This window comes from Homo sapiens, chromosome 11 (genome assembly GCF_000001405.40).
Source record: "Homo sapiens chromosome 11, GRCh38.p14 Primary Assembly".
Taxonomy (NCBI): Eukaryota; Metazoa; Chordata; class Mammalia; order Primates; family Hominidae; genus Homo; species Homo sapiens.
The window spans coordinates 67,073,529-67,101,256 of NC_000011.10; the positions used below are offsets into that span (position 1 = coordinate 67,073,529).

A 27,728-nucleotide genomic window follows, 5' to 3' on the forward strand; every position below is an offset into this window, starting at 1 on the left:
TGGAAATGGAAGCTGGGAAAAGTTGTTTCCCATCCCTGAGCAGGTGAGATTAAAAGTTCAGTGGGGCCTGGTGTGGTGGCTCGCGCCTGTAATCCCAGCACTTTGGGAGGCTGAGAAGGGTAGATCACCTGAGGTCAGGAGTTCGAGACCAGCCTGGACAACATGTTGAAACCCCATCTCTACTAAAAATACAAAAAAATTAGCTGGGCATGGTGGTGGGCACCTGTAAACCCAGCTACTCAGGAGGCTGAGGAAGGAGAATCACTTGAACCCGGGAGGCGGAGGTTGCAGTAAGCCGAGATCACGCCACTGCACTCCAGACTGGGCAACAAGAGCAAAACTCTGTCTCAAAAAAGAACCATAACAATAAATTAATAAATAATAATAATTTAAAAATAAAATATATAAATAATAAAAATTTTAAAAAAAGAAACCTCACAGTGGGGACTGGAATCTAGGTAGGGTTTTCCACGTTGGCCCCTAACACTATTTCACTTGCGGCAGCTCGGCCCTGTAATCTGAGCTGTGAGGCCCCACGTTGCTGAAGCAGTCCCCCACCTGGAGCTGTTTCTGATGAAACTTCCGGGACAGGTGTCAGCAGCTGGTTCTCATTAAGGATCATGTGTATCAGCGCAAAAGAAATGGTCCAGTTCGGCTGGGCGCGGTGGCTCACACCTGTAATCCCAACACTTTGGGAGGCCAAGGCAGGTGGATTGCTTGAGGCCAAGAGTTCAAGACCAGCCTGGCTAACATAGTGAAACCCTGTCTCTATAAAAAACACAAAAATTAGCCAGGTGTGGTAGCACGCATCTGTAGTCCCAGCTACTCAGGAGGCTGAGGCAGGAGAGTTGTTTGAACCTGCGACGCAGTGGTTGCAGTGAGCTGAGAACACACCACTACCCTCCAGCCTGGATGACAGAGTGAGACTCTGTCTCAAAAAAAAGAAAATACATGTTTGGTTTTGGAACTTCCCAAGAGCTTTAATTAGGCTCACAGTACAGTTGGAGAATATTTGGGTTTGAGTCCAGAGCACATGGCCATAGAGTAGCTTAGTGCAGCTTTGGCTGCTGGTTCATGGTTTGGTTCAGATCGAGCCTCCGAGCATAAGAAAGTTACTCATTCAGGCCAGAAATGAAGCTGTGGTGGGGGAGTCATAAGTGCCCTGCTCACCTTGTGGCTTGGCCAGATGGGTAGACAGTGGGGGTGCTCAAACTTCATCTGATTCAGGACACCCCAAGATCTCTCTTAGGAATGACCTCCCCCTCAAGCCCCGGCAGGATTCTTTTTTTTTTTTTTTTACAGACAGGGTCTTGCTCTGTTGCCCAGGCTGGAGTGCAGTGGTGCAATCATAGCTCACTGCAGCCTCAACCTCCTGGGCTCAAGCAATCCTCCTGCCTCAGCCTCCCGAGTAGCTGGGACTACAGTTGCCCACCACACCTGGCTAATCCCCCTGCAGGGTTCTAAGTGCTGTAGAGCAGAGTAGATCATGGGGTGGGCTTGTCACTGAATTGGTTTTAATAAGTTCACATTGACTTAAGACTCACTGAGGCTGGGCGTGGCTGCTCACGCCTGTAATCCCAGAACTTTGAGAGGCCAAGGCAGGTGGATCACCTGAGGTCAGGAGTTCAAGACCAGCCTGGCCCATATGGTGAAACCCCATCTCTACTAAAAATACAAAAATAAGCTGTGTGTGATGGCACGTGCCTGTAATCCCAGCTTCTAGGGAGGCTGAGGCATGAGAATTGCTTCAATCCGGGAGGTGGAGGTTGCAGTGAACCGGGATCACGCCATTGCACTCCCCCTGGGCAACAGAGCGAGACTCTGTCTCAAAAAAAAAAATAAATAAATAAATAAAAGAAAAAAGAAAAGACCCACTTATGTGCTTAGTGCTGTGCTTAGTCATTTTCCATGAAGTATCCCATTTAGTAGTCACAGGCCCCAGTGAGCTAGGACCAGGTACACACCCACCTCACAGATGAGGAGGCGGAAGCACAGAGGGCTCGGTCAAATGCTCATGACCTCAAGAAGTAGCAGGGCCGCAGCTGGACGTGGTGGCTCAAGGCTGTAATCCCAGCACTTTGGGAGGCCGAGGCGGGTAGATCATGAGGTCAGGGGTTTGAGACCAGCCTGGCCAACATGGTGAAACCCTGTCTCTACAAAAAATACAAAAATAGCCAGGTGTGGCAGTGTGTGCCTGTAATCCCAGCTACTAGGGAGGCTGAGGCAGGAGAATCACTTGAACCTGGGAAGCAGAGGTTGCAGTGAGCCTAGACTGTGCCATTGCACTCCAACGTGGGTGACAGAGCAAGACTCCGTCTCTAAAAAAAAAAAAAAGAAGAAGAAGTAGCAGAGCCAAGGTTTAAGCCCAGGACAGTCTGACTGTCCAGAATCTTGGCTGTCAGCCACTACACTGGACCCCTGTCCTGAGTCACCTCTTCCCCAGACCCCCAGCCCTGGACCCCTGCTTTGTACCAGTATTTCCAGACCCCAAGGAGCTCAGAGTTTACAGAGACAAGAAGGCCTAGAATTGTCTTTCAGGGATTGGGGGCAACATGGCAGGTGCAAGGCTGTGAAGACCACGTGGTTTGACCCAGACACCAGCAGAGCTACAGCTCACAGAAGTCCCGCTGAAGCAGGCTGAGCAGCACCTGAGGATCCCAGCAGAAGGAACAGGTGCTGGGATTTATTGGGTTCCCACCCCATGCCAGACGCTTGATTGATGAGATGCCATTATTAGACCCATTTCAGAGAAGAAAATAAGGCTCAAAGCAGGAGAGTGGTCTGTGTAGGGTCATGTGGCCAGAGGTAGGGCTGAAGTTCAGCTCAGCCTCTCATGGCACTTCACTGAGGACACGTGCTGGGAGATCAAGGTCAGTGAGGAACCGAGCTCTGTGGGCAAAAGAGAAACAGGATGGTCTGGGGAGCTGAAAGATCCAGTGGTGTGCAGAAGTTGGGGAGAGGCATCTGGGGCCACCAAATAAGAGGAGGGAAGTCGGCACCTGCCTGCTGTGCGGGGGAGAGAGTTCCTGGGAGAGACAGTGGGACTCAGGAGCACACACATCGGACTTTCCTTCCCTGCCAAGGGCTGCCCTCCTCTCCTTCTTTGAGAGCTCATCACCACCTGAAATGGTCCTGTCTGTCTCCCCATGGTCATGCCAGCTCTCTGAGAGCACAGGCTGGGCTTGTTGCAATCTCCTGTGCCAGCCGGGCGCAGTGGCTCATGTCTGTAATCTCAGCACTTTGGGAGGCCGAGGCGAGTGGATCACCTGAGGTCAGGAGTTCGAGACCAGCCTGGCCAACATGGGGAAATCCCGTATCTACTAAAAATAGAAAAAATTAGCCGAGCGTCGTGGCAGGCGCCTGTAGTCCCAGCTACTCGGGAGGCTGAGGCAGGAGAATTTCTTGAACCCCAGAGGCGGAGGTTGCAGTGAGCTGAGATTGCGCCATTGCACTCCAGCCTGGGCGACAGAGCGAGACTCCGTCTCAAAAAAAAAAAGAAAGAAAGGAAGGAAGGAAGGAAGGAAGGAAGGAAGGAAGGAAGGAAGGAAGGAAGGAAGGAAGGAAGGAAGGAAAGAAAGAAAGAAAGAAATCCCCTGTGCCTCAAACAATGCCTAGCATAGAGTAAACACCAAATACATAGGTGAGAAATGAGTGAATGAATTAATGAATGCCATGAATCCGTGCTCCATTCAGACCCTCATCCATTCGGGCTTGGACCATCACATAAGTCTCCCAGCCTGCAGGCTCTCGGCCTCCTCCATCCTCCTCACCCTGGCAGAGCCATCCTCCAAAGCATAAGTGCGTCCCTGCACAGAAGCCTTCAGCAGCCCCCTCTGCCCAGAGAAGAAGGGCCAGAGTCCACAGTTGGGGCCTGGGGCTCTCCAGTATCTGGCCCTAGCCCACATTGATCCGGGCCTTATCCCCAGGACACCTCCCCACACCCACTCCGGCCACACCCAGGGGCCACATCCAAGGAGCACCAACCTCCTAGCCTTCGCTCAGACTGCTTCCCCACCTCGGCAAGCCCTGCCTCCCAGTCACCGCCTGTTCAAACCTCCCCTCCTCCCCCAAATCCTTCAGGGTCCAGCTGGGACACCACCCTCTCCAGGAAGCTTGTGGGCCGGGCCTGCCGCCTCTCTCCCTCTTCACTGCACGCCTGCCTGTGCGCACCAAATCTCTCTTCACGGGGCCCCTTGGCTAAGGAACTGGGCTTTTCTTCCCGTGCTGTGGGAAGGGCCAGGTTAGACTCCCTAAGATGACAGGTCTGGTGGTGGGACCAGGTGGGCTATCTGGGAGGAGGGAGGCGGGAGCCTGGAGACCAGCTGGGGAGCTGCAGATGTCCAGACACAAGAAACAAGCCACTACAAGTCAAGGCTTGGTGACTTCTGGGCTGGAAGCTGTAGCACCAAGGGTGGACTTTGGGAAGGGTGGGGACGTTGGGAGGGAGGGAAGAATGCAGGCCTCTCCCACCTGGGGTCGGGGTGGGGGGGGCGGGAGGAATGTGGGGAGGGCGAGCACTTCTCCCAGACCCGGCACTGGGAGAGGCGGGGACCTTAGTTGGGTGGCCGCTTTCTCACTCTGGCCTCTCCCTCTGCCCCGCCTGTTTCAGGCCCCATCCTGCCTAGCCCGCCACACACAGCTCTCCAAAGTGTCCAAGGAGGGCACGGGGGCGGGGGGCAGGGGGGTCCTTGGAGACGCCTGTGAGGAGCCAGAGTTATTACTATTCTCCTCCTCCTTCTCCCCCCAACAATCCCCTCTTTCAATTCCTCACTACCCAGCCTGGTAGGGCAGGCACGGCCAGACGGATGGGAGCTGGGGAAGGCCCAGCCTGGAGGCCAGCGCAAGCCAAGAGCCACAAACCACCGTCTTCGTTTCCCCATGCCGCCTCCGCCCAGCCTTGGGGTTGTCTGCTGGGAAGGCAGAGGGCAGGGGTGGGGACCTCAAGTCATCTCCTCCAGGACAGGCCACTCCCTGACACCCTCAGGGTGAGGAGGAGGGTGGGGCGCACACTGTCTGTGAGTCACAGAGCTTCCCTCTCCCCTGTGCCGGGGCAGCACTCTGGGCCCCATCCCATGTCTAGACACAGGGAGAGGATGGTGGCCAGCAGATCACCCTACTCCAGGCCACCCTCTGCTCTCCAGCCTCCTTTTCCTCCTGGGGTCCTGTCCTTTGGAGGATAACCACTCACAGCCCCCAGGAAGTCATCGCTCAGCCGCTGGTTAGGAAACCAACAAAGCATATGGCCAGGCTGAGGGCAGTAAGCGTCGAATGAGTGGAACGGCTGACCGCCCACCCATGCATTCAAGGGCGTAATCTCCACGGTAATGCTGCTGATTAATAGGTCCAGATTGCTGGGCGTGGTGACTCACGCCTGTAATCCCAGCACTTTGGAAGGCCAAGGTGGGCGGATCACCTGAGGTCAGGAGTTTGAGACCTGCCTGACCAACATGGTAAAATCTGTCTCTACTAAAAATACAAAAAATTAGCCAGGCATGGTGGCAGACGCCTGTAATCCCAGCTACTCAGGAGGCTGAGGCAGGAGAATCGCTTGAAACAAGAAGACAGAGATTGCACTGAACCAAGATCGCACCACTGCACTCCAGCCTAGGCACGACAGAGACTCCATCTCAAAAAAGAAAAAAGGTCAGATTGTGACTAGAAGGGGACTTTCCTGGGCTCAAATCCTGGCTCTTCAACTTACCAGCTGTGTGACCTTGAAGGAGACACTAGGGCTTTCTTATGTGTCAGTTTCTTTATTTGTCAAATGTGGGTATGAGTAGTTCTGACCTCCTACATTGGTTGGATTCAATAAGCAAATAGTGCTTATTCACTCCCTCAGTGCTAACTCCTAACTAGAGCTATTAACTATGAAATGAGGATAATTGTTTACTGTGCAGGGTTGTTGCAGGGCCTGTGAAGCAGAAACAAGCATGTATGTGTTTGATGCTGGCCTCTTCTTCCCAATCTGGGTCACCAAGCCTGGGAGGAGAAGAGAGGGAAGCTTCATCAAGGAGACGGAATGGAACATGAGGCCGACTGCTGTTTGCAGGCCTGCAGGAGTGGGCTGGACCCTCAGCAGAGCCAGGGAGGATGGGGCTGGAATTTCCTCCAGGGCTTCTATTTGCACGGGACACACCAAACTGAGCAGTGCTCAGCCCAGGGCTGACAATGTTAATACGTTTGATTAGGAAATGTGTAGTATCAGCTCCTACCAAAAAATTTTTTAATTTTTATTTATTTATGGTTTTTTGATTTTGTTTTTGTTTTTTTGAGACCGAGTTTCGCTTTTGTTGCCCAGGCTGCAATGGTGTGATCTCAGCTCACTGCAATCTCCGCCTCCCAGGTTCAAGCGATTCTCCTGCTTCAGCCTCCCAAGTAGCTGGGATTACAGGCACCCACCACCACTCCCAGCTAACTTTTGTATTTTTAGTAGAGACGGGATTTCACCATGTTGGCCAGGCTGGTCTAGAACTCCTGACCTCAGGTGATCCACCTGCCTCGGCCTCCCAAAGTGCTGGGATTACAGGCGTGAGCCACCACACCCAGCCTTTACTTCTTTTTGAGCCAGGGTCTCACTCTGTCATCCAGGCTGGAGTGCAGTGGCACAGTCTCTGCTCACTGAAGCCTCGACCTCCTGGGCTCAAGTGATCCTCCTGCCTCTGCCTCCCAAGTAGCTGGGACTACACAGCGCATGCCACCACAGGCCCTGCTCTAGGCACTGTGTCTACTGAGCACCAAGCGCAGGAGGCAGGGTGCAGAGGTGAGGAGAGCAGGATGTGGTCCTTGCCTTCCAAGCTTCCATCTTCCATCCTCCGTGGGAGCTCAGATGTGGATACAACCAGCAGGGGAGGGGAGTGTGCCACATTCACTCAGCAACCCACAAGTGTGGGTGCCAGCTCCTGCCATTGAGACAAACAGGAGGAGCTCAGCTAAAACAGGGTTAGGCCAGGCACAGTGGCTCATGCCTATAATCCTAGCACTTTGGGAGGCCAAGGTGGGAGGATTGCTTGAGCCCAGGAATTTGAGACCAGCCTGGGCAACATAGGAAGACACTATCTCCACACACACACACACATACACACACACACACACACACACAAAGTATTTTTTATTTTTGAGACAAGGTCTCATTCGGTCATCCAGGCTGGAGTGCAGTGGCAGGGTCGCTGCTCACTGCAGCCACGACCTCCTGGGCTCAAGCGATCCTCCCGCCTCAGCCACCTGAGTAGCTGGGATCACAGGCTCAGACCACCACAGCAGGCTTTTTTTTTTTCTTTTTTTTTTTTTTGAGATGGAGTCTAGCTCTGTCACCCAGGCTGGAGTGCAGTGGTATGATCTCGGCAACTCGCTGCAAGCTCTGCCTCCTGGGTTCACGCCATCCTCCTGCCTCAGCCTCCCAAGTAGCTGGGACTACAGGCACCCGCCACCACGCCCGGCTGATTTTTTGTATTTTTAGTAGAGACAGGGTTTCACCATGTTAGCCAGCATGGTCTCGATCTCCTGACCTCGTGATCCGCCCGCCTCAGCCTCCCAAAGTGCTGGGATTACAGGCATGAGCCACCATGTCCGGCCTCCAGCTGGCTAATTTTAAAATTTTTTTTGTAGAGATAGGGTCCACTATGTTGCCAAGGCTGGTACATTTTTAAAAAATTAGTGGAACAGGCTGGGAGCGGTGGCTCATGCCTGTAATCCTAGCACTCTGGGAGGCCAAGGCGGGCAGATCACAAGGTCAGGAGTTCCAGACCAGCCTGACCAACATGGTGAAACCCCACCTCTACTAAAAATACAAAACTTAGCCGGGTGTGGTGGCGCACACCTGTAATCCCAGCTACTCGGGAGGCTGAGGCAGGAAAATTGCTTGAACCTGGGAGGTGGAGGTTGCAGTGAGCCAAGATTGCACCACTGCACTCCAGCCTGGGTGACAGAGTGAGACTCTGTCTCAAAAAAAAAAAAATTAGTGGAACAGAAAAAAATAAGAAAGATAAAAGGCAGGATCAAAAGCAGTGAGTGGCAAAGCTGGGCGCTTGGACACAGGACCCCAACTCTCAGCCTCAGCTCCTGGCCTCCCCTGGGTACTGTCCAGGTGCTGGACCTCGACCACCAGAGGGCAGCAGGGCCCAAGGAGAGGTGCCTTCCCCACTCCTCGCGAGGCCCATGGGGCAGGTGTGGCGATCTGCCCCATCGCTCCTGCCTGGGGCATGTTTAGCAACACACAACTGCCACCAGCCCCACCCACTGAGCCCTGCCCGCCCCACCAACATTTTACAGAAATAAAACTGGGGCTCAGAGTGGCTGAGTAAGTTGACCATTCAGTTAGTCTAGAAAGACCCAAAAGAGAATCATGCTCTCCTGAATCAGTTGTGGTTCTAAGGTCAGAGAGATGCGGGTTTGAATCCCTCCCCTGCACCTACCAACTGGCAGGATTCTTGTCAAGCGTCAGGCGGGCCTGGCTGGAGTGAGATCAAACGTGGGAAGCGCAGTAAGAGCACCACTGCTGTTCTCTCCTGACCCCACCCCAGAATTTGCAACGCAGTTCAGGGAGATGATCAAAATACTTAAGAGTGTTAAGGAACCCCGAGAGAGGGATCCCAGAAAGAGAGGTGCTATGGGCAGGCACCAGGGGGCACACCCCACTGCGTGTGGCCAGAATAATCCTGGAGGATTGCCAGAGAAGGGGTGGAGCTGGAGGACCCTGCGGGGCAGGCTGGATGGCCGGCGGGACCTTCCTGCTGGAGAACAAACCCATGCAGAGACCCAACCCCCGTGTGGGGCACTGGGAAACATTTCGGAGCTGTGAACTCCTCCTCGTCCTCCCAACAGCGAAGGGCTGCTGCCTCCACAATGCCAAGAGGTGACACCTCTCAGGAGCTTCTGTCTGGCCCAGCCCAGCCTCTTCAGACACTCCCAGCTCTCCAGTTCTTTTCACTTCCCCACCCCAACACCTCTGTTGAGAATCAAAAAAGAAATGGCCTGATAAAGAATTTTTTATTTTTAGCGACAGAATCTCACTCTGTCACCGAGGGTGGAGTGCAGTGGCGCTATCCTAGCTCACTATAACCTCAAACTCCCCGGGCTGCAGCGATCCTCCCGCCTCAGTTTCCTGAGTAGCTGGGACCACAGGCGTGTGCCAACATGCCTGGCTAATTTTTTTTTTCTTTTTTTAAGACAGTTTCGCTCTTGTTGCCCAGGCTGGAGTGCAGTGGTGCGACCTCAGCTCATCGCAACCTCCGCCTCCTGGGTTCAAGAGATTCTCCTGCCTCAGCCTCCCCAGTAGCTGGGATTATAGGCACATGCCACCATGCCCGGCTAATTTTTGTATTTTTAGTAGAGATGGGGTTTCACCATGTTGTCCAGGCTGGTCTCGAACTCCTGACCTCAGGTGATCCACCCACCTCGGCCTCCCAAAGTGCTGGGATTACAGGCATGAGCCACCTCGCTTGGCCAAGAATTTTTTTCTTTCCTTTTTTGAAACAGAGTCTTGCTCTGTCGCCCAGGCTGGAGTGCAGTGTTGAGATCTTGGCTCACTGCAACCTCTGCCTTCCTGGTTCAAACGATTCTCCTGTCTCAGCCTCTGGAGTAGCTGGTATTACAGACGTGTGCCACCACGCTCGGCCTGCCAAGAATATTTTATACCTTTGTCACTCATCACATCCCCCAGGACCATCTCCCTGAAAGTTCCCAATCCCCTCACCTACATCCTCCCCTCCCCGCTGTCCTCAGGCCCACCATCCAGGAGGAAGTCATACCACTCTGATCACATCTTGGAGGGTCTCAGCAGAGTCCACGCGCAGCCTTCACCTAGGGCATTAACAGAATACGTGAGCTTCTCTTTCCCCATTTCCTTCTCCCCCTCCCTCCCTCACTCCTCCTACCCGGGATCTCCTCCTAAATGAATTATCCTTCCTTTTCCACAGTTTTATTTACCCATGGTTAACCTTGGCCCAAAACTATTAAATGGAAAATTCTAGAAATAAACAATTCTTTTTTTTTTTTTTTGAGACACAGTCTCACTCTGTTGCCCAGGCTGGAGTGCAGTGGTGTGATCTCCACTCACTGCAACCTCTGCCTCCCGGGTTCAAGCGATTCTTCTGCCTCAGCCTCCCAAGTAGCTGGGATTACAGGCATGTGCCACCATGGCCAGCTACTTTTTGTATTTTTAGTAGAGACAGGGTTTTGCCATGTTGGTCAGGCTGATCTTAAACTCCTGACCTCAGGTGATCCCCCCACCTCGGCCTCCAAAGTGCTGGGATTGCAGGTGTGAGCCACCAAGCCTGGCCGTAAGTTTAACTGCACATCATTCTGAGTAGCGTGATGACATCTCCCCAATTCCCACTCCATCCTTCCTGGTAGACACTACCTATTAGTTAGTGTGGAATCATTACATCAGTTACTTAGTAGCTGGCTTGGTTGGGATCCACTGTGGTATGGCAGTGCTGGTTTCAAGTAACCCTTACTGTATTTAACAGTGGCCCCAGGGCACAAGAGTAGTGATGCTGGCAATTCTGATATGCCAAAGAGAAACTGTAGAGAGCTTCCTTTCACTGAAAAGGTGAAAGTTCTCAACTTAAAGAAACAAAAAAATCAAAAGCTGAAGTTGCTAAGATTTGTGGTAAAAATGAATCTCCTGCCAGGCACGGTGGCTCACGCCTGTAATCTCAGCACTTTGGGAGGCTGAAGTGGGTGGATCACCTGAGGTCAGGAGTTCGACACTAGCCTGGCCAAGACGAGGCCTGAAACCTCATCTCTACTAAAAAATGCAAAACATTAACCGGGAATGGTGTCCTGTGCCTGTAATCCCAGCTACTCGGGAAGCTGAGGCAGGAGAATCCCTTCAACCTGGGAGGCGGAGGTTGCAGTGAACTGAGATGGTGCCACTGCACTCCAGCCTGGGCGACAAGAGTGAAACTCCGTCTCAAGAAAAAAAAATATATAGTGCTTACTACATGTCTGCCACTTTTTTGAGACAGGATCTCACTCTGTTGTCCAGGATGGAGTGCAGTGGTTCAATCACAGCTCACTGAAGTCCCAACCTCCTGGGCTCAAGCGGTCCTCTCACCTCAGCATCCTGAGTAGCTTGGACTTAGAGGAGCATACCACCATGCCTGGCTAATTTTTTTTTTTTTTTTTTTTTTTTTGAGAGACAAGGACCCACTGTGTTGCCCAGGCTGGTCTCAAATTCCTGGACTCAAGCAATCCTCCTGCCTCAGCCTCCCAAAGTGTTGAGATTATAGGCATGAGCCCCGTGCAACACTTTTTTTTTTTTTAATATAATGTTTAGTCCGGGTGTGGTGGCTCATGCCTGTAATCCCAACACTTTGGGAGGCTGAGGCGGGAGGATCACTTTAGGTCAGGAGTTCGACACCAGCCTGGCCATCATGGTGAAACCCCGTCTCTACAAAAAATACAAAAACCAGCCGGGCGTGGTGGCGCATGCCTATAATCCCCACTACTCGGGAAGTTGAGGCAGGAGAATCGCTTGAACCCGGGAGGTGGAGGTTGCAGTGAGATGAGATGGCGCCATTGCACTCCGGCCTGGGTGACAGAGTGAGACTCCATCTCAACAAATAAAACAAAAGCCGGGCGTGGTGGTGCTCGCCTGTAATCCCAGCACTTCGGGAGGCCGAGGCAGGCGGATTGCCTGAGGTCAGCCTGGCCAACATGGTGAAACCCTGTCTCTACTAAAAATACAAAAATTACCTGGGCATGGTGGCGTGTGCCTGTAATCCTAGCTACTTGGGAGGCTGAGGCAGGAGAATCGCTTGAACCCAGGAGGCAGAGGTTGCAGTGAGCCAAGATTGCACCACTGCACTCCAGCCTGGGCGACAGAGCAAGACTCTGTCTCAATAAATAAATGAGTAAATAAATAAATAAATAAATAAATAGGCTGGGTGCGGTGGCTCCCGCCTGTAATCCCATCACTTTCAGAGGCCAAGGGTGGATCGCCTGAGGTCAGGAGTTCGAAACCAGACTGGCCAATATGGGAAAATCCTGTCTCTACTAAAAATACAAAAATTAGCTGAGCATAGTGGCGCGTGACTGTAATTCCAGCTATTCGGGAGGCTGAGGCAGAAGAATCTCTTGAACCCAGGAGGTGGAGTTTGCCGTGAGCCGAGATCCTGCCACTGCACTCCAGCCTGGGCAACAAGAGCAAAATTCCAACTCAAAAAAAAATTATTTTTAACCCTCATTTCTTCTGCAACAACACTTCGAATACTAACTCATTAAACCTTCATGTCCACCCTGCAACGTAGGTACAGTTATCAGCAGCCCCATTTTACAGATGAGAAAACTGCTGAGGGGCAGAGGGGTTAAAAAATTTGTCCAAAAATCACAAGCTGACAAGGGACATTTAGGATTTGAATCCAGTCTGGATGGTCCCAGAACGCACAATGTGTTCAGGCCATGGATGGGGACAGCAGGTCCACAGTGTCCAGTGGTCTGTAACCCAGGCTGTGGGGGCCTGCTACCAGCCCTGTCACTGACTCAGAGTGATCAGATAGCCTTCCCACAAGGCTCTTTTCTGCTGAAATTAACAAGCCCTTTTTGATGTCTGAAGCTTCTTAAGAGCTCTCATTGGTTCAGATCCTATATTAAAGAGAAATTCAGGTCAGGCATGGCGGGGCATGCCCATAATCCCAGCCCTTTGGGAGGCCAAAGCAGGAGGATCGCTTGAGGCCAGGAACTGGAGACCAGTGTAGACACATAGGGAGACCCCCATCTGTACAAAATATTTTTTTAAAAATCAGCCAGTCAGGGTGGCACGTGTCTGTAGTACCAGCTACTCGGGAGGCTGAGGTGAGAGGATCACTTGAGCCCAGGAATTCAAGGTTATAATGAACTATGATTGCGCTACTATACTCCAGCCTGGGTGACAGACTAAGATCCTGTCATTTAAAAACAAAAGAAAAGGGCGGGCGCAGTGGCTCAAGCCTGTAATCCTAGCACTTTGGGAGGCCGAGGCGGGCGGATCACAAGGTCAGGAGTTCAAGACCAGCCTGGCCAACATGGTGAAACCCCATCTCTACTAAAAATACAAAAATAGCCGGGCATGGTGGTGCGTGCCTGTAATCCCAGCTACTCGGGAGGCTGAGGCAGGAGAATTGCTTGAACCCAGGAGGCAGAGGTTGCAGTGAGCCGAGACTGCGCCACTGCACTCCAGCCTGGCGACAGAGCAAGACTCCGTCTCAAAAAAAAAATAAAAATAAATAAATAAATAAATAAAAACAAAAAAAAAGTAAGAGAGGCCGGGCGCAGTGGATCATGCCTGTAATCCCCGCACTTTGGGAGGCCAAGGCGGGTGGATCACGAGATCAGGAGATCAAGACCATCCTGGCTAACACGGTGAAACCCCGTCTCTACTAAAAATACAAAAAATTAGCCGGGCGTGGTGGTGGGCGACTGTAGTCCCAGCTACTCGGGAGGCTGAGGCAGGAGAAAGGCGTGAACCTGGGAGGTGGAGCTTGCAGTGAGCTGAGATCGCGCCACTGCGCTCCAGCCTGGGCGACAGGGCAAGACTCCATCTCAAAAAAAAAAAAAAAAAGAAGTAAGAGAAAAACTGGAAAACATTTAAAAATAGTATATATATATATTTTTTAGACAGAGTCTTGCTCTGTTGCCCACGCTGGAGTGCAGTAGTGTGATCTCGACTGACTGCAATCTCTGCCTTCCGAGTTCAAGTGATTCTTCTGCCTCAGTCTCCTGAGTAGCTGGGATTACAGGCACCCACCACCACACCCAGCTAATTTTTGTCTTTTTGGTAGACACAGGGTTTTGCCATTTTGGGCTTGAACTCTTCAGGTGACTCACCCGCCTCAGCCTCCCAAAGTGTTGGGATTACAGGTGTGAGCCACTGCACCCGGCCATTTGTTTGTTTGTTTGTTTGTTTGTTTTTAGATGGAGTCTGGGATTACAGGCAAGTGCCACCACGCTCAGCTAATTTTTGTATTTTTAGTAGAGATGAGGTTTCACCATGTTGGCCAAGCTGGTCTTAAACTACTGACCTCAAGTTATCCACCCGCCTTGGCCTCCCAAAGTGCTGGGATTACAAGTGTGAGCCACCGCGCCCGTCCACCCAACTAATTAAAAAAAATTTTTTTTTGTAGGCTGGGTGTGGTGGCTCACACCTGCAATCCCAGCACTTTGGAAGGCTGAGGCGGGCACATCCCCCTCGAGGCCAGGAGTTCCAGACCAGCCTGGCCAACATGCAGAAACCCAATCTCTACTAAAAATATAAAAATTAGCCCAGTGTGGTGGCGTGTGCCTGTAATCCTAGCTATTTGGGTGGTTGAGGCACGAGAATCGCTTGACTCCAGGAGGCGGAGGTTGCAGTGAGCCAAGATCAAGCACTCCAGCCTGAGTGACAGAGCGAGACTATGTCTAAAAAACAAAAAATTTGTAGAGATCATATTGCCCAGGCTGGTCTCAAACTGCTAGCCTCAAGCAATCCTCCCACCTTGGTCTCCCAAAGTGCTGGGATTATAGGCGTGATCCACTACATTTGGTCTCAGAATTGTTAAAGGGGATCCAGGACAAAGGTTTGTTTGTTTATTTATTTTGTTGATGTTGTTGTTTTGAGAGGGAGTCTCACTCTGTCGCCCAGGCTGAAGTGCAGTGGCACTATCTCGGCTCACTGCAACCTCCGCCTCCCGGGTTCAAGCAATTCTCCCACGTCAGCCTCCCAAGTAGATGAGATTACAGGCACCCACCACCACACCTGGCTAATTTATTTATATTTTTAGTAGAGACAGGGTTTTGCCTTGTTGGCCAGGCTGGTCTCAAACTCCTGGCCTCAAGTGATCTGCCCGACTCCGCCTCCCAAAATGCTGAGATTACAGGCGTGAGCCACCGCGCCCAGTTATTTTTATTTCTATTTAAAAATTTTAAAATATTCTTTTGTTTTTTGAGACAGGGTCTCTGTCGCCCAGGCTGGAGTGCAGTGGCGCGATCTCAGCTCGCTGCAACCTCCACCCCCCGGGTTCAAGTGATTTTCCACCTCAGCCTCCAGAGTAGCTGAGACTACAGGCACACACCACCACACCTGGCTAATTTTTTTATTTTTGGTAGGGACAGGGCTTCCCCAGGTTGGCTAGGCTGGTCTCAAATTCCTGCCATCAAGTGATCTGCCCCCCTTGGCTTCCCAAAGTTTTGGGATTACAGGTGTGAGCCACCACGCCCGGACCAGGACAAAGGTTTTACATAAAAAACTTACTGAATTTTCCAATGACACCCCTGGTTTTAGATACATTGATTCATTGTCTGATCAAGATCAGATCATTATGGCCAACCCAGTGGCCATAATTAGGAAAATCACTTGAACCTGGGAGGCAGTGGTTGCCATAAGCGGAGATCGCGCCATCGCGCTCCAGCCTGGGCAACAAGAGCGAAACTTCGTCTAAAACAACAACAAAAACAAAACAAACCCCAATAAGCTGGTTGTTTTTTGTTGTTTTTCTTTTGTTTTGTTTTTTGAGATGGATTCTTGCTCTGTAACCCAGGCTGGAGTGCAGTGGCGGGATCTCAGCTCACTGCAACCTCCGCCTCCCGGGCTCAAGCGATTCTCTTGCATCAGCTCTGGACTAGCTGAGATAACAGGCATGCACCACCACACTGGCTAATGTTTGTATTTTTAGTAGAGATGGGGTTTCTCCACCCACCTCGGCCTCCCAAGGTGCTGGGATTAGAGGCATGAGCCACCACGCCCGCCAAGCTGGGTATTTTTTTTTTCCTCCAAGACAGTGTCTCGCTCTGTCACCCAGGCTGGAGTGCAGTGGCTTGATCTTGGCTCACTGCAACCTCCGCCTCCCGGGTTCAAGCAATTCTCCTGTCTCACCCTCCCGAGTAGCTGGGATTACAGGGGTTAGCCACCATGCCCAGCTAATTTTTGTATTTTTAGTAGAAAGAAGGTTTCACGACGTTGGTCAGGCTGGTATCGAACTCCTGACTTCGTGATCTGCCTGCCTCGGCCTCCCAGAGTGCTAGGATTACAGGCGTGAGCCACCGCACCCGGCCGACAACTTGATTTTTATATGAAAAGGTAACCAGGGCCAGGCATAGTGGCTTATGCCTGTAACCCAGCATTCTGGGAGGCTGAGGTGGGTGGATCACCTGAGGTCAGGAGTTTGAGACTAGCCTGGCCAACATGGTGAAACCCTGTCTCTACTAAAAATACGAAAAATTAGCTGGGCATGGTGGTGGGCACCTGTAATCCCAGCTACTCAGGAGACTGAGGCAGGAGAATTGCTTGAACCCGGGAGGCGGAGGTTGCAGTGAGCCAAGACTAAGCCACTGCACTCCGGCCTGGATGACAGAGTGAGACTCCATCCCAAAAAATAATAATAATTTTTTTAAAAAAAAGAAAACTTGGCCGGGCGGCGCGGTGGCTCAGGCCTGTAATCCCCGCACTTTGGGAGGCCGAGGAGGGCAGATCATGAGGTCAGGAGATCGAGACCATCCTGGCTAACATGGAGAAACCCCGTCTCTACTAAAAATACAAAAAAATTAGCCGGGCATGGTGGTGGGCGCCTGTAGTCCCAGCTGCTGGGGAGGCTGAGGCAGGAGAATGTCATGAACCCAGGAGGTGGAGCTTGCAGTGAGCCAAGATCATGCCACTGCACTCCAGCCTGGGTGACAGAGCAAGACTCCATCTCAAAAAAAAAATAAATAAATAAATAAAATAAAAAAGAAAAGTTGCCGGCTGCAGTGGCTCATGCCTATAATCCCAGCACTGTGGGAGGCCCAGGCGGGCGGATCATGAGGTCAGGAGATCATGACCATCCTGGCTAACACGGTGAAACCCTGTCTCTACTAAAAATACAAAAAAAAAAAAGAAAAGAAAAGAAAAATTAGCCAGGCGTGGTGGCAGGCGCCTGTAGTCCCAGCTACTCAGGAGGCTGAGGCAGGAGAATGGCGTGAACCTGAGAGGCGGAGCTTGCAGTGAGCCAAGATCGCACCACTGCACTCCAGCCTGGGTGACAGAGCAAGACTCAAAAAAAAAAAAAAAAAGATAAGTTAACCAAAGCAATTTACCTCTGTGATCTTCCTCCTAAAATCCCACAATCCTTGTCTAATAATGAGAAAAATACCAGACAGATCCAATTAAGGGGCATTGTACAAATCTGACCAGTCCTCAAAACTGTCAAGGTTATCAAAAACAAGGAAAAGGCCAGGAGCAGTGACTGATGCCTATAATCCCAGAACTTTGGGAGGCCGAAGTGGGAAGACTGCTTGAGGACAGGAGTTCAAGACCAGCAGTCTCTGCAATGTGGTGAGACCCTGTCTCTACAAACAAAATTAGCCTGGTATTGTAGCTCAAACCTCAGTCCCAGGAGGCTGAGGTGGGAGGACTGCCTGAGCCAGGAGGTTAACGCTACAGTGAGCCGTGATCGCACCATTGCACTCCAGCCTCAGACCATGTCTCAAAAAACAACAACCAGGAGAGTCTGAGACACCATCACAGCCAAGAGAAACCTAAGGAGACATGACAACTCAATGCCATCGATGTGGTGTCCTGAATGGGATTCTGGCACAGAAAAGGACATTAGATTAAAACTAAGGAAATCAGGCCGGGCGCAGTGGCTCACGCCTGTAATCCCAGCACTTTGGGAGGCCGAGGCGGGCGGATCACCTGAGGTCAGGAGATCAAGACCATCCTGGCTAACACAGTGAAACGCTGTCTGTACTAAAAATACAAAAAATTAGCAGGGCGTGGCAGCAGGCACCTGTAGTCCCAGCTACTCGGGAGGCTGAGGCAGGAGAATGGCATGAACACGGGAGGCGGAGCTTACAGTGAACTGAGATCGCACCACTACACTCCAGCCGGGGCAACAGAGCAAGACTCCGTCTCAAAAAAACAAAAAAAAAAAACTAAGGAAATCAAGCTGGGCACAGTGGTTCACGCCTGTAATCCCTGCACTTTGGGAGGCCGAGGCGGGAGGATCACCTGAGGTTGGGAGTTCGAGACCAGCCTGGCCAACATAGAGAAACCCCGTCTCTACTAAAAATACAAAAATTAGCTGGACATGGTGGCACATGCCTGTAATCCCAGCTACTTGGGAGGTTGAGGCAGGAGAATCCTTGAACCTGGGAGGCAGAGGATGCAGTGAGCTAAGGTTGTGCCATTTTACTCCAGACTGGGCAACAAGAGCAAAACTCCGTCTCAAAAAAACAAAACAAACAAAAACTAAGGAAATCAGAATAAAGTATTCTTTTGTTTTGTTTTGTTTACTTTAGGTTCTGGGATACATGTGCAGAACGTGCAGGTTTGTTACGTAAGTATACATGTGCCATGGTAGTTTGCTGCGCCTATCAACAAGGTTTTAAGCCCCGCATGCATTAGATACTTGTCCTAAGCCAGGCGTGGTGGCTCACACCTGTAATCCCAGCACTTTGGGAGGCCGAGGCAGGCGGATCACTTGAGGTTGGGAGTTCGAAACTACCCTGACCAACATGGAGAAACCCTGTCTCCACTAAAAATACAAAATTAGCCGGAGGTGGTGGTGCATGCCTGTAATCCCAGCTACTCGGGAGGCTGAGGCAGGAGAATCGCTTGATCCTGGGAGGCAGTGGTTGCAGTGAGCCAAGATCACACCATTGCACTCCAGCCTGGGTTACGAGAGTGAAACTCCATCTCAAAAAAAAAAAAAAGATATTTGTCCTAATGCTCTCCCTCCCCTTGTCCCCCACTCCCCGACAGGCTCCGGTGTGGGATGTTCCCCTCCCTGTGTCCATGTGTTCTCATTGTTCAACTCCCACTTAGGAGTGAGAACATGCGATGTTTGGTTTTCTGTTCCTGTGTTAGTTTGTAAAGTATGATCTTTAATTAAAAATAATGTGTCAATATTGTATGTATCATTACTTGTTTTTCCTTTTTCTTTGTTTATTTGTTTGTTTTTGAGACAGAGTCTCACTCTTTCGCCCAGGCTGGAGTGCAGTGGTGCAATTTCGGCTCATGGCAAGCTCCACCTCCCAGGTTCAAGAGGTTCTCCTGCCTCAGCCTCTCTTTTTTTTTTTTTGCCTTTGAGACGGAGTCTTGCTCTGTCACCCAGGCTGGAGTGCAGTGGCATTGCAAGCTCTGCCTCCCGGGTTCATGCCATTCTCCTGCCTCAGCCTCCCGAGTAGCTGGGACTACAGGCGCCCACCACCACGCCCAGCTAATTTTTTGTATTTTTAGTAGAGAGGATGTTTCACCATATTAGCCAGGATGGTCTCGATCTCCTGACCTCGTGATCCGCCGGCCTTGGCCTCCCAAAGTGCTAGGATTACAGGCGTGAGCCACCGTGTCCAGCCTGCTTCAGCCTCTTGAGTAGCTGGGATTATAGGCGTGCGCCACCGTGACTGGCTAATTTTTTATATTTTTAGTAGAGATAGAGTTTCACCATGTTGGCCAGGCTGGTCTGGAACTCCTGACCTCAAGTGATTTGCCCGCCTTGGCCTCCCAAAGTGCTGGGATTACAGGCGTGAGCCACCACGCCCAGCCATGTATCATTACTTGTAACACACGTACCACAGTAATCTGAGATATTAATAATAGGGGAAACTTGGTGCAGGGCTATATAGAAACATACTTTTCCTGCAAATCTAGAACTGTTCTAAAGTAGAATGGTTATTTAAAAAATCAGGCCAGGCGCAGTGGCTCAGGCCCGTGATCCCAGCACTTTAGGATGCCAAGGCGGGTGGATCACAAGGTCAGGAGATTGAGACCATCCTGGCCAACATGGTGAAACCCCATCTTTACTAAAAATACAAAAAAATTCGCTGGGCGTGGTGACATGCGCCAGTAGTCCCAGCTACTCGGGAGGCTGAGGCAGGACAATCGCTTGAACCAGGGAGTCAGAGGTTGCAGTGAGCTGAGATCGTGCCACAGCACTCTAGCCTGGCAATAGAGTGAGACTCCGTCTCAAAAAAAGAAAAATCAAAGTAGCCACCAGAAATTACAGTAGTAGTCAGGTGAAATCCCAAGAGTAGGACCTGGCTGGGTGGGCCACCTGAGGGCTGCCCCTACTGGTACCTAGATGGCATACTGGCTGAGGGTAGGTCCCAGAGACCCAATAGCAACCCATCTGCCTCCCTCAGTGCAGAGCACTGCTCAGTAAATGCATGTGTGCAGCGTAAGATGTGAACTGCCCCAATTCCAGGCAAGACCTATAGGATGGGTGCAACGCACACCTACTTGTGAAATTCTAGTCCTGGGTGGAGCAGTAACCCACTTGAACCAGGGGATACCTCCTGAGGTTTAAACAAACCTCAGCTGGCAGCTGACAATAGAAATGCAAACAGCCAAGCCGGGCACGGTGGCTCACGCCTGTAATCCCAGCACTTTGGGAGGCTGAGGCGGGCGGATTGCTTGAGGTCAGGAGTTTGAGACCAGCCTGGCCAACATGGTGAAACCCCGTCTCTACTAAAAATACAAAAATTAGTGGAGCATGGTGGGGTGTGCTCCCACCTACTAGGGAGGCTGAGGCAGGAGAATCGCTTGAACCCAGGAGGTGGAGGTTGCAGTGACCAGAGATCGTGCCACTGCCCTCCAGCCTGGGCAACAGAGCAAGACTCTGTCTCAAAAAAAAAAAAAAAGCCAGGCGTGGTGGCTCACACCTGTAATCCCAGCACTTTGGGAGGCCAAGGTGGGCAGATCACGAGGTCAGGAGATTGAGACCATCCTGGCTAACATGGTGAAACCCCATCTCTACTAAAAATACAAAAAATTAGCCAGGCATGGTGGCCAGCACCTGTAGTCCCAGCTACTTGGGAGGCTGAGACAGGAGAATGGCGTGAACCCAGGAGGCGGAGCTTGCAGTGAGCCGAGACACGCCACTGCACTCCAGCCTGGGCAACAGAGCGAGACTCCGTCTCAAAAAAAAAAAAAAAAAGAAGGGAGGGAGGGAGGGAGGGGAGAAGGGAGGGAGAAAAGGAAGGAGGGAGAGAGAGGGAAAAGGAAGGAAGGGAAAGAGAGAGAAAGAACGAATGAAAAGAGAGAGAAAGAGGAAGGGAGGGAGGGAGGAAGGAAGGAAGGAAGGCAGGAAGGAAGGAAAAGAAGGAAAGAAGGAAAGAAAGAAAGAAAGCCCCTGATAGCTTTAGATTTGCTCATGCAGACCAGGCGCGATGGCTCATGCCTGTAATCCCAGCACTTTGGGAGGCCGAGGCAGGCGGATCACGAGGTCAGGAGATCAAGAGCATCCTGGCTAACATGGTGAAACCCCGTCTCTACTAAAAATACAAAAAAATTAGCCGGGCGTGGTTGCAGGTGCCTGTAGTCCCAGCTATTTGGGAGGCTGAGGCAGGAGAATGGCCTGAACCTGGGAGGCGGAGCTTGCAGTGAGCAGAGATCACGCCACTGCACTCCAGCCTGGGTGACACAGGGAGACTCTGTCTCAGAAAAAAAAAAAAAATAGATTTGCTCACGCATTTTTCCCACCTGGTGCCTGTTCGCTCAAGTTTCCTTTGCCCACCCGTCCTGGGTCTCTGGGCTGCAGGCAGAGCAGCTCCCAAGCTTCTCCAAGTTCACTGGCCCCTCTTCCCACCTTAAAACCAGCTGCATCAGCAGAAGAGATTATGCCAGGTATTAAAAGCCCGCCAGGGGGCGGGGGTGGGGTGGGGTAGGATTGCCAGGCCAGCATGCTAGAGGCCCAGGCACCTGCAGGGACACCAGGAACAGCTGTCCACCAGCTGGAAGGGCCACTGCTCCCCTACATGTGCCCAAAACCTGACCTTCCCTGTGCCTCTAGCTGAAGTTTGCTCCAGTCCAGGCTCACAAGGCAGTGGTCTGTGGTCAGCTATGCATGGGGCTTGGGATGCTAGGATTGTGGTGGAAGTGAGGGAAAGATTTAGGGCTGAGCCAGGTGAGGGGACACTGGAGAATTTTCACAGCTGGGCTGATCCTGGAGCAGGAGTGAGAGCAGTGGTGGGATGTGCAGGATGGGCTGGAGGGACCTGCAGACCTCTCTGGATGGATGATGCTCCAGCACCCGCTCAGGGTGAAGACAAGCAGGGTTCAGGATGAAGACCTCTCACCTAAGCAGCAAGGGTCGACCCTGCCCCTCTCCCTGCCCTGTCCCCTGAAGCTGCTAGTCAGTTGCAGCGTGAGTACTGGGGCAGAAACTGTCCTCTCCGGAGAAGTGCTCACACTGCAGGGGACACTGCTGGGGGTTCAGGGGAGAATGGGACCCTCACCCCCGTGAGTAACTAGGGATCAGTAACTAGGTAGCCGCCTTCCTGCAGCAGGCCACCCTCTGGCCCCTGCTTCTTAGCTGCAACCTCTGCAAGGTCCTGGCCCATATAGGTGTGACCTGTGAGGAGGTTAAAGGAAAGGTACCTTAGCCCCTGGCTGGGGCTCTCTCTCTGAAGTGCACCTGTAGTCCCAGCTCCTCGAGGCTGAGGCAAGAGGATCACCTGAGCCCAAAAGTTTGAGGCTACAGTGAGCTATGGTCACGCCACTGCACTCCAGTCTGGGTGAAAAAACGAGACCCTTTCTCTAAAAAAAAAAGGAAGTCCAGGCGTGGTGGCTCATGCCTATAATCCCAACATTTTGGGAAGCCAAGCCAAGGTAGGCGGATCACCTGTCGGGAGTTTGAGACCAGCCTGACCAACATGGCGAAACCCCACCTCTACTAAAAATACAAAATTAGCTGGGTGTGGTGGCATATGCCTGTAATCCCAGCTACGCGGGAGGCTGAGGCAGGAGAATCGCTTGAACCCAGGAGGCAAATATTGCAGTGAGCCAAGATCACGCCATTGCACTCCAGCCTGGGCAACAAGAGCGAAAGTCCGTCTCAAAAAAAAGAAAGCAAAAGAAAAAGAAAGGGCACATTGGCCGGGCGTGGTGGCTCATGCCTATAATCCTGGCACTTTGGGAAGCCGAGGCGAGCAGATCACCTGAGGTCAGGAGTTCAAGACCAGCCTGGCCAACATGGCAAAACCCTGTCTCTACTACAAATACAAAAATTAGCCAGGGGTCGTGGCAGGCACTTGTAATCCCAGCTACTCGGGAGGCTGAGGCAGGAGAATCACTTGAACCCAGGAGGCTGAGTTTGCAGTAAGCGGAGATCATACCACTGCACTCCAGCCTGGGGTGACAGAGCGAGACTGTGTCAATAATAATAATAATAATAATAATAATAATAATAATAATAAATAAGGGGCATCTTTGGCTTTGGGTGGAGCCAGGCTGGTGGCTGCAGGGGCCCCATGGGAGCAGGGAGGCCGGGAGACACTGCTACCAGGGACCTCCACTCACCTGCCTCCTGCCCTCCCAACTCTGCCTTAGAGCCCAGCAGGCTGCCTCCCAGCAGGCTGGCTCTTGCAGTGGGATGTGGCACAGGAGGTTTTTGTTTCCAGCGGGCTTTCCTTCCCACATCTGCAAGTTCAAACTCAATGCCCATGATCCCTAGAAAGCCTTGGTAAAGGATGTCACTAAGTCTGACATTCTCTCAAACTGAACTTTTTTTTTTTTTCTGGTGCCCACCATACCCTACCCTAGTTCTCTCAGAGCATCCAAAGAACTCTCCAGAACTCTCCATTGCCCTCTGTAGCTCTGGATGTGGTGCCTACCACGGGCCGTTGGCAGTCCCGATTCTGTGTCTCTGACCAGGGGTTGCTCAGGCCACTGACTCTGCACACACATGGGGCAGTGAGTGTGCCAGGGAGCCAACAGCCTCTGGAAGCAGCCCACAACCAATGGCAGGTGGCAGCGGGTGGATAAGGAAAATGTGGAGTCCCCTTCTACACTGTCTCCCAGAGGTGTCCAGCCAGGCAGCACCAGCAGCCACTGCAGTGACTTGCTCGACGATGCACCCTTCGTTGGTTCTCTTCCCTCCCTTGTCTTACTTTCCACTCCTCTGTCAGTATTTCCTAGGACCATTTCCCAAATAAACTTCTTGCACTTGAATCCTTGCCTCAAGGTTTGCTTCTGGGTGAATTCGAAGTAAGGCACAGTGGCTCACACCTGTAATCCCAGCACTTTGGGAGGCTGAGGAGGATTGATCACCTGAGGTCATGAGTTCGAGACCAGCCTGGCCAACATGGCGAAACCTCGTGTCTACTGAAAATACAAACATTAGGCGGGCATGGTGGTGGGTGCCTGTAATCCCACCTACTTGGGAGGCTGAGACAGGGAGAATTGCTTGAACCTGGGAGTCAGAGGTTGCAGTGAGCAGAGATCACACCACTGCACTCCAGCCTGGGTGACAGAGTGAGACTGTCTCCAAAAAACAAAAACAAAACAAACAAAAAACCTACAAAAAAACAAAGACACACTCACTTGCTTACATTAAGAACAGGGTCTGGGCAGGGCGCAGGGGCTCATGCCTGTAATCCCAGCCTTTTGGAGTGTGTGTCTATGTGTTTATCTGTCAGGGTGAAGGTGGCTCTCAGAATTGATTGGGGGCAGCTGGGCGTGGTGGCTCATGCCTGTAATCTCAGCACTTTGGGAGGTCGAAGTGGGTGGATCACCTGAGATCAGGAGTTTGAGACCAGCCCGGCTGACATGGTGAAACCCTGTCTCTACTAAAAATACAAAAAATTTGCCAGGTATGGTGGCAGACGCCTGTAATCCCAGCTACTTGGGAGGCTGAGGCAGGAGAATCACTTGAACCCAGGAGGCAGAGGTTGAAGTGAGCCGAGGTCACGCCACTGCACTCCAGCCTGGGCAACAAGAGCAAAACGGGGCCGGGCACAGTGGCTCACGTCTGTAATCCCAGCACTTTGGGAGGCCAAGGCGGGTGGATCATGAGGTCAGGAAATCGAGACCATCCTGGCTAACACGGTGAAACCCCATCTCTACTAAAAATGCAAAAAATTAGCCGGGCCTGGTGGCGGGCGCCTGTAGTCCCAGCTACTTGGGAGGCTGAGGCAAGAGAATCGCTTGAACCCGGGAGTGGAGCTTGCAGTGAGCTGAGATCGCACCACTGCACTCTAGCCTGGGCAACAGAGCCAGACTCCGTCTCAAAAAAAAAAAAAAAATAGAGCAAAACGTCATCTCAATAACAAAAAAAAAAAAGGAAGAAGAAGAATTGATTGGGGGCTGGAGGACCAGGTTTGGGATGGGCAGGAAGCCAGATGGGAATGATGTCCATCTTTCTCCACTTCCTCAGGCCACCTGCTTGGGAGTCAGCAACCTAAAAAAGGAGGTCTGCTGGGTCAAACCGAATTTGACCCGGCTGCACCCGGTCAGGAGAGGGAAGATGTCTCTATTCTCCCCAGTACCACCCATGGGGCATCTCCAAGGGAGACTGGGTACCTGTAGGAACAACCTCACTGAATGGAGTTGGATAGGAACCACCAAGAAATGCAAATGTACCTCGGCCTTTATTATTCTTCTCCCAACCATAAGGCAAAGCTTAGACTACAAGTTTGCCACCACCCTCCACACCCCATGTCCTCTGCCACACTTCACACTGCTCCTTTTCTCTGACCCACTTGGATGCCTCTTCCCATTCTTCTGTCACTGTCTCACTCTAGTCGCTATCACCACTGCCCATTACCACCTCCTCCCTCTGGGTATCTGGCCTCCAGCAACTAACTGCCTGCCATGTGCCCAGTGCTGGCTGCCAAGCTGTTTCTCCCATCTTTAGTGGCTGTCAGTGATCAACCTTGTCCCATCCTGGGCTCTAAACTTGCCACCAGCTCTTTCTCCCCGGGGTATCCTCTACCTCTTCTTCCTCCAACTCCACCCCTACCAGCTGGGCCTTCCTGGCAGTGACTCAATGTCTTCCTCCTCCAATAATTTCACTCCCATTTGAGTCTTTGCTCAGATGCAAATACTTTATGTGCCTGCAATGTACTCCTCCAATAGTTACTTTTACAAATTCCACCTCTTTCCTGGCAAACCCTCTTGCCTGTCTCCCCGCCCCCAACATCGGCCACTACACCAGGGGCCCCTCTCCTGTTACCCTTCGCAAGCATTTAGTGAATGAGGAAAACTATTTTCGGGGCCTGATTCCAGACATGGTGGAGGAAACAGGCACACAGCAAGCCCATTCTGTAGGAAGCTTACTCCACTGGAGAGAGAACCAGACACACTCACAGAAGTGAGGCCAGGCGTGGTGGCTCACGCCTATAATCCCAGCACTTTGGGAGGCCAAGGTGGGCGGATCACCTGAGGTCAGGAGATTGAGACCAGCCTGACCAACATGGTGAAACCCCGTCTCTACTAAAAATACAAAATTAGCCAGGTGTGGTGGCGCAGGCCTGTAATCCCAGCTACTCAGGAGGCTGAGGCAAGAAAATTGCTTGAACCCGGGAGGTGGAGGTTGCAGTGAGCTGAGATCCTGTCATTGCACTCTAGCTTGGGCGACAGAGCGAGACTCTGTCTCAGAAAAAAATCAAACGCAAGCGAGCATGCAGTAATTGCCAAGCTGGGTGAATGGATTTTCAGGGCTGTGGGAATTCACAGAGTGCAGCAGGGAAGGCCTGTGCATGTGTTTGGAGGCAGAGGAGGCGGCAGGGAGGAGAGAGTGTATCCAATGCCTGTTTGAAGGGGAGGACAGCATAGACCTCATTTCACACAGGAGGGTGCAGGGGAATCTCCAACAGAGAAGTCACTGGCCAGGTGGTGGGGAAAGTTCAGGGCCGTAGCAGCCACAGGGACAAACCCGCAGAGAAGACATCTGAAGTTCTGAGAATAAATGAAAGCCTCAAGAGAGAGAAGAGCAGAGGGTTGAGGACTAGGCCTTGCAGGAAGCCCAAAGGCAGGGGTAGGGGAGAGGGGCAGAGGGTGAGCCTGCAGGAGGGAGAAACTCTTGTTTGTTAGCCTGGGCCACTGTGGCCTGTTTAGGACTCTACGCTCTCCTTCCTGTGTAGGGCACCTGTGCGCAGTGCCTGGACCTGCCTTGGTTCTCACTGACCCTCTGGCATAACTGGTGGTCACAGGAAGTTGGTTTCCTGTGAGCTTTCATGATGCTTCCCGAATCCACCCACTTCTCTCTCCACTTCTGTGGGGTAGAAGACTGTAGACAGAAAGTAGTAAGTTTAAAAAAGGAAAGAAAAAAAGAAAAAAAGAAGGCCAGGCATGCTGGTTCATGCCTGTAATCCCAGCACTTTGTTTTGTTTTGAGAGAGTCTCACTCTGTCACCCAGGCTGGAGTGCAGTGGCGTGATCTCAGCCCACTGCAACCTCCACCTCCCTGGTTCAACCTATTCTCCTGCCTCAGCCTCCAAAGTAGCTGGGACTACAGGCACGCACCACCACTGCTGGCTAATCTTTTGCATTTTTAGATACAGACCAGGTTTTGCCATGTTGGCCAGGCTGGTCTTGAACTCCTGACCTCAGGTGACCCACCTGCCTCAGCCTCCCAAAGTGCTGGGATTACAGGCATGAGCCACCACACCCGGTCATGCCTGTAATCCCAGCACTTTGGGAGGCTGAGGTGGGAGGATCACTTCAGCCCGGGAGTTTGAGGCTGCAGTGAGCCATGATCACGCCTCTGCATTTCAGCCTGGTCAACAGAGCGAGACCCTATCTCAAAAAAATATATATGTCATAGTAAGATCTGGCTTCTCTCAGAGAGAAAGGGGTCACCTTATCCACCCCTGCCTCAGTCCCTTTGTGCTGCTATAACAAAATAGCTGAGACTAGATTATTTATTTATTTTTTTTTTTGAGAGGGAGTCTCGCTCTGTCACCCAGGCTCGAGTGCAGTGGTGCGATCTCGGCTCACTGCAAGCTCTGTCTCCCAGGTTCATGCCATTCTCCTGCCTCAGTCTCCCGAGTAGCTGGGACTACAGGTGCCCACCACCATGC

The 27,728-nt window shown here is 51.8% G+C and overlaps 9 annotated features.

Annotated features, from left to right (window-relative positions):
* Positions 393 to 893: an enhancer, noted in NCBI's record as "H3K27ac hESC enhancer chr11:66841392-66841892 (GRCh37/hg19 assembly coordinates)". NCBI's record gives its function as "activates a minimal SCP1, AML or CMV promoter by ChIP-STARR-seq in primed H9 embryonic stem cells {active_cell/tissue: H9 hESC(primed)}" and the evidence as "EXISTENCE:reporter gene assay evidence [ECO:0000049][PMID:30033119]".
* Positions 1,866 to 2,066: a silencer, noted in NCBI's record as "peak1310 fragment used in MPRA reporter construct". NCBI's record gives its function as "represses an SCP1 promoter by STARR-seq MPRAs in K562 erythroleukemia cells {active_cell/tissue: K562}" and the evidence as "EXISTENCE:reporter gene assay evidence [ECO:0000049][PMID:32103011]".
* Positions 4,408 to 5,303: an enhancer, noted in NCBI's record as "H3K27ac-H3K4me1 hESC enhancer chr11:66845407-66846302 (GRCh37/hg19 assembly coordinates)". NCBI's record gives its function as "activates a minimal SCP1, AML or CMV promoter by ChIP-STARR-seq in naive H9 embryonic stem cells {active_cell/tissue: H9 hESC(naive)}" and the evidence as "EXISTENCE:reporter gene assay evidence [ECO:0000049][PMID:30033119]".
* Positions 5,442 to 5,551: an enhancer, noted in NCBI's record as "active region_5068". NCBI's record gives its function as "activates an Ori minimal core promoter by ATAC-STARR-seq in GM12878 lymphoblastoid cells {active_cell/tissue: GM12878}" and the evidence as "EXISTENCE:reporter gene assay evidence [ECO:0000049][PMID:35858748]".
* Positions 21,601 to 21,670: a silencer, noted in NCBI's record as "silent region_3611". NCBI's record gives its function as "represses an Ori minimal core promoter by ATAC-STARR-seq in GM12878 lymphoblastoid cells {active_cell/tissue: GM12878}" and the evidence as "EXISTENCE:reporter gene assay evidence [ECO:0000049][PMID:35858748]".
* Positions 21,771 to 21,830: an enhancer, noted in NCBI's record as "active region_5069". NCBI's record gives its function as "activates an Ori minimal core promoter by ATAC-STARR-seq in GM12878 lymphoblastoid cells {active_cell/tissue: GM12878}" and the evidence as "EXISTENCE:reporter gene assay evidence [ECO:0000049][PMID:35858748]".
* Positions 26,363 to 26,472: an enhancer, noted in NCBI's record as "active region_5070". NCBI's record gives its function as "activates an Ori minimal core promoter by ATAC-STARR-seq in GM12878 lymphoblastoid cells {active_cell/tissue: GM12878}" and the evidence as "EXISTENCE:reporter gene assay evidence [ECO:0000049][PMID:35858748]".
* Positions 26,666 to 27,166: an enhancer, noted in NCBI's record as "H3K27ac hESC enhancer chr11:66867665-66868165 (GRCh37/hg19 assembly coordinates)". NCBI's record gives its function as "activates a minimal SCP1, AML or CMV promoter by ChIP-STARR-seq in naive H9 embryonic stem cells {active_cell/tissue: H9 hESC(naive)}" and the evidence as "EXISTENCE:reporter gene assay evidence [ECO:0000049][PMID:30033119]".
* Positions 26,883 to 27,002: an enhancer, noted in NCBI's record as "active region_5071". NCBI's record gives its function as "activates an Ori minimal core promoter by ATAC-STARR-seq in GM12878 lymphoblastoid cells {active_cell/tissue: GM12878}" and the evidence as "EXISTENCE:reporter gene assay evidence [ECO:0000049][PMID:35858748]".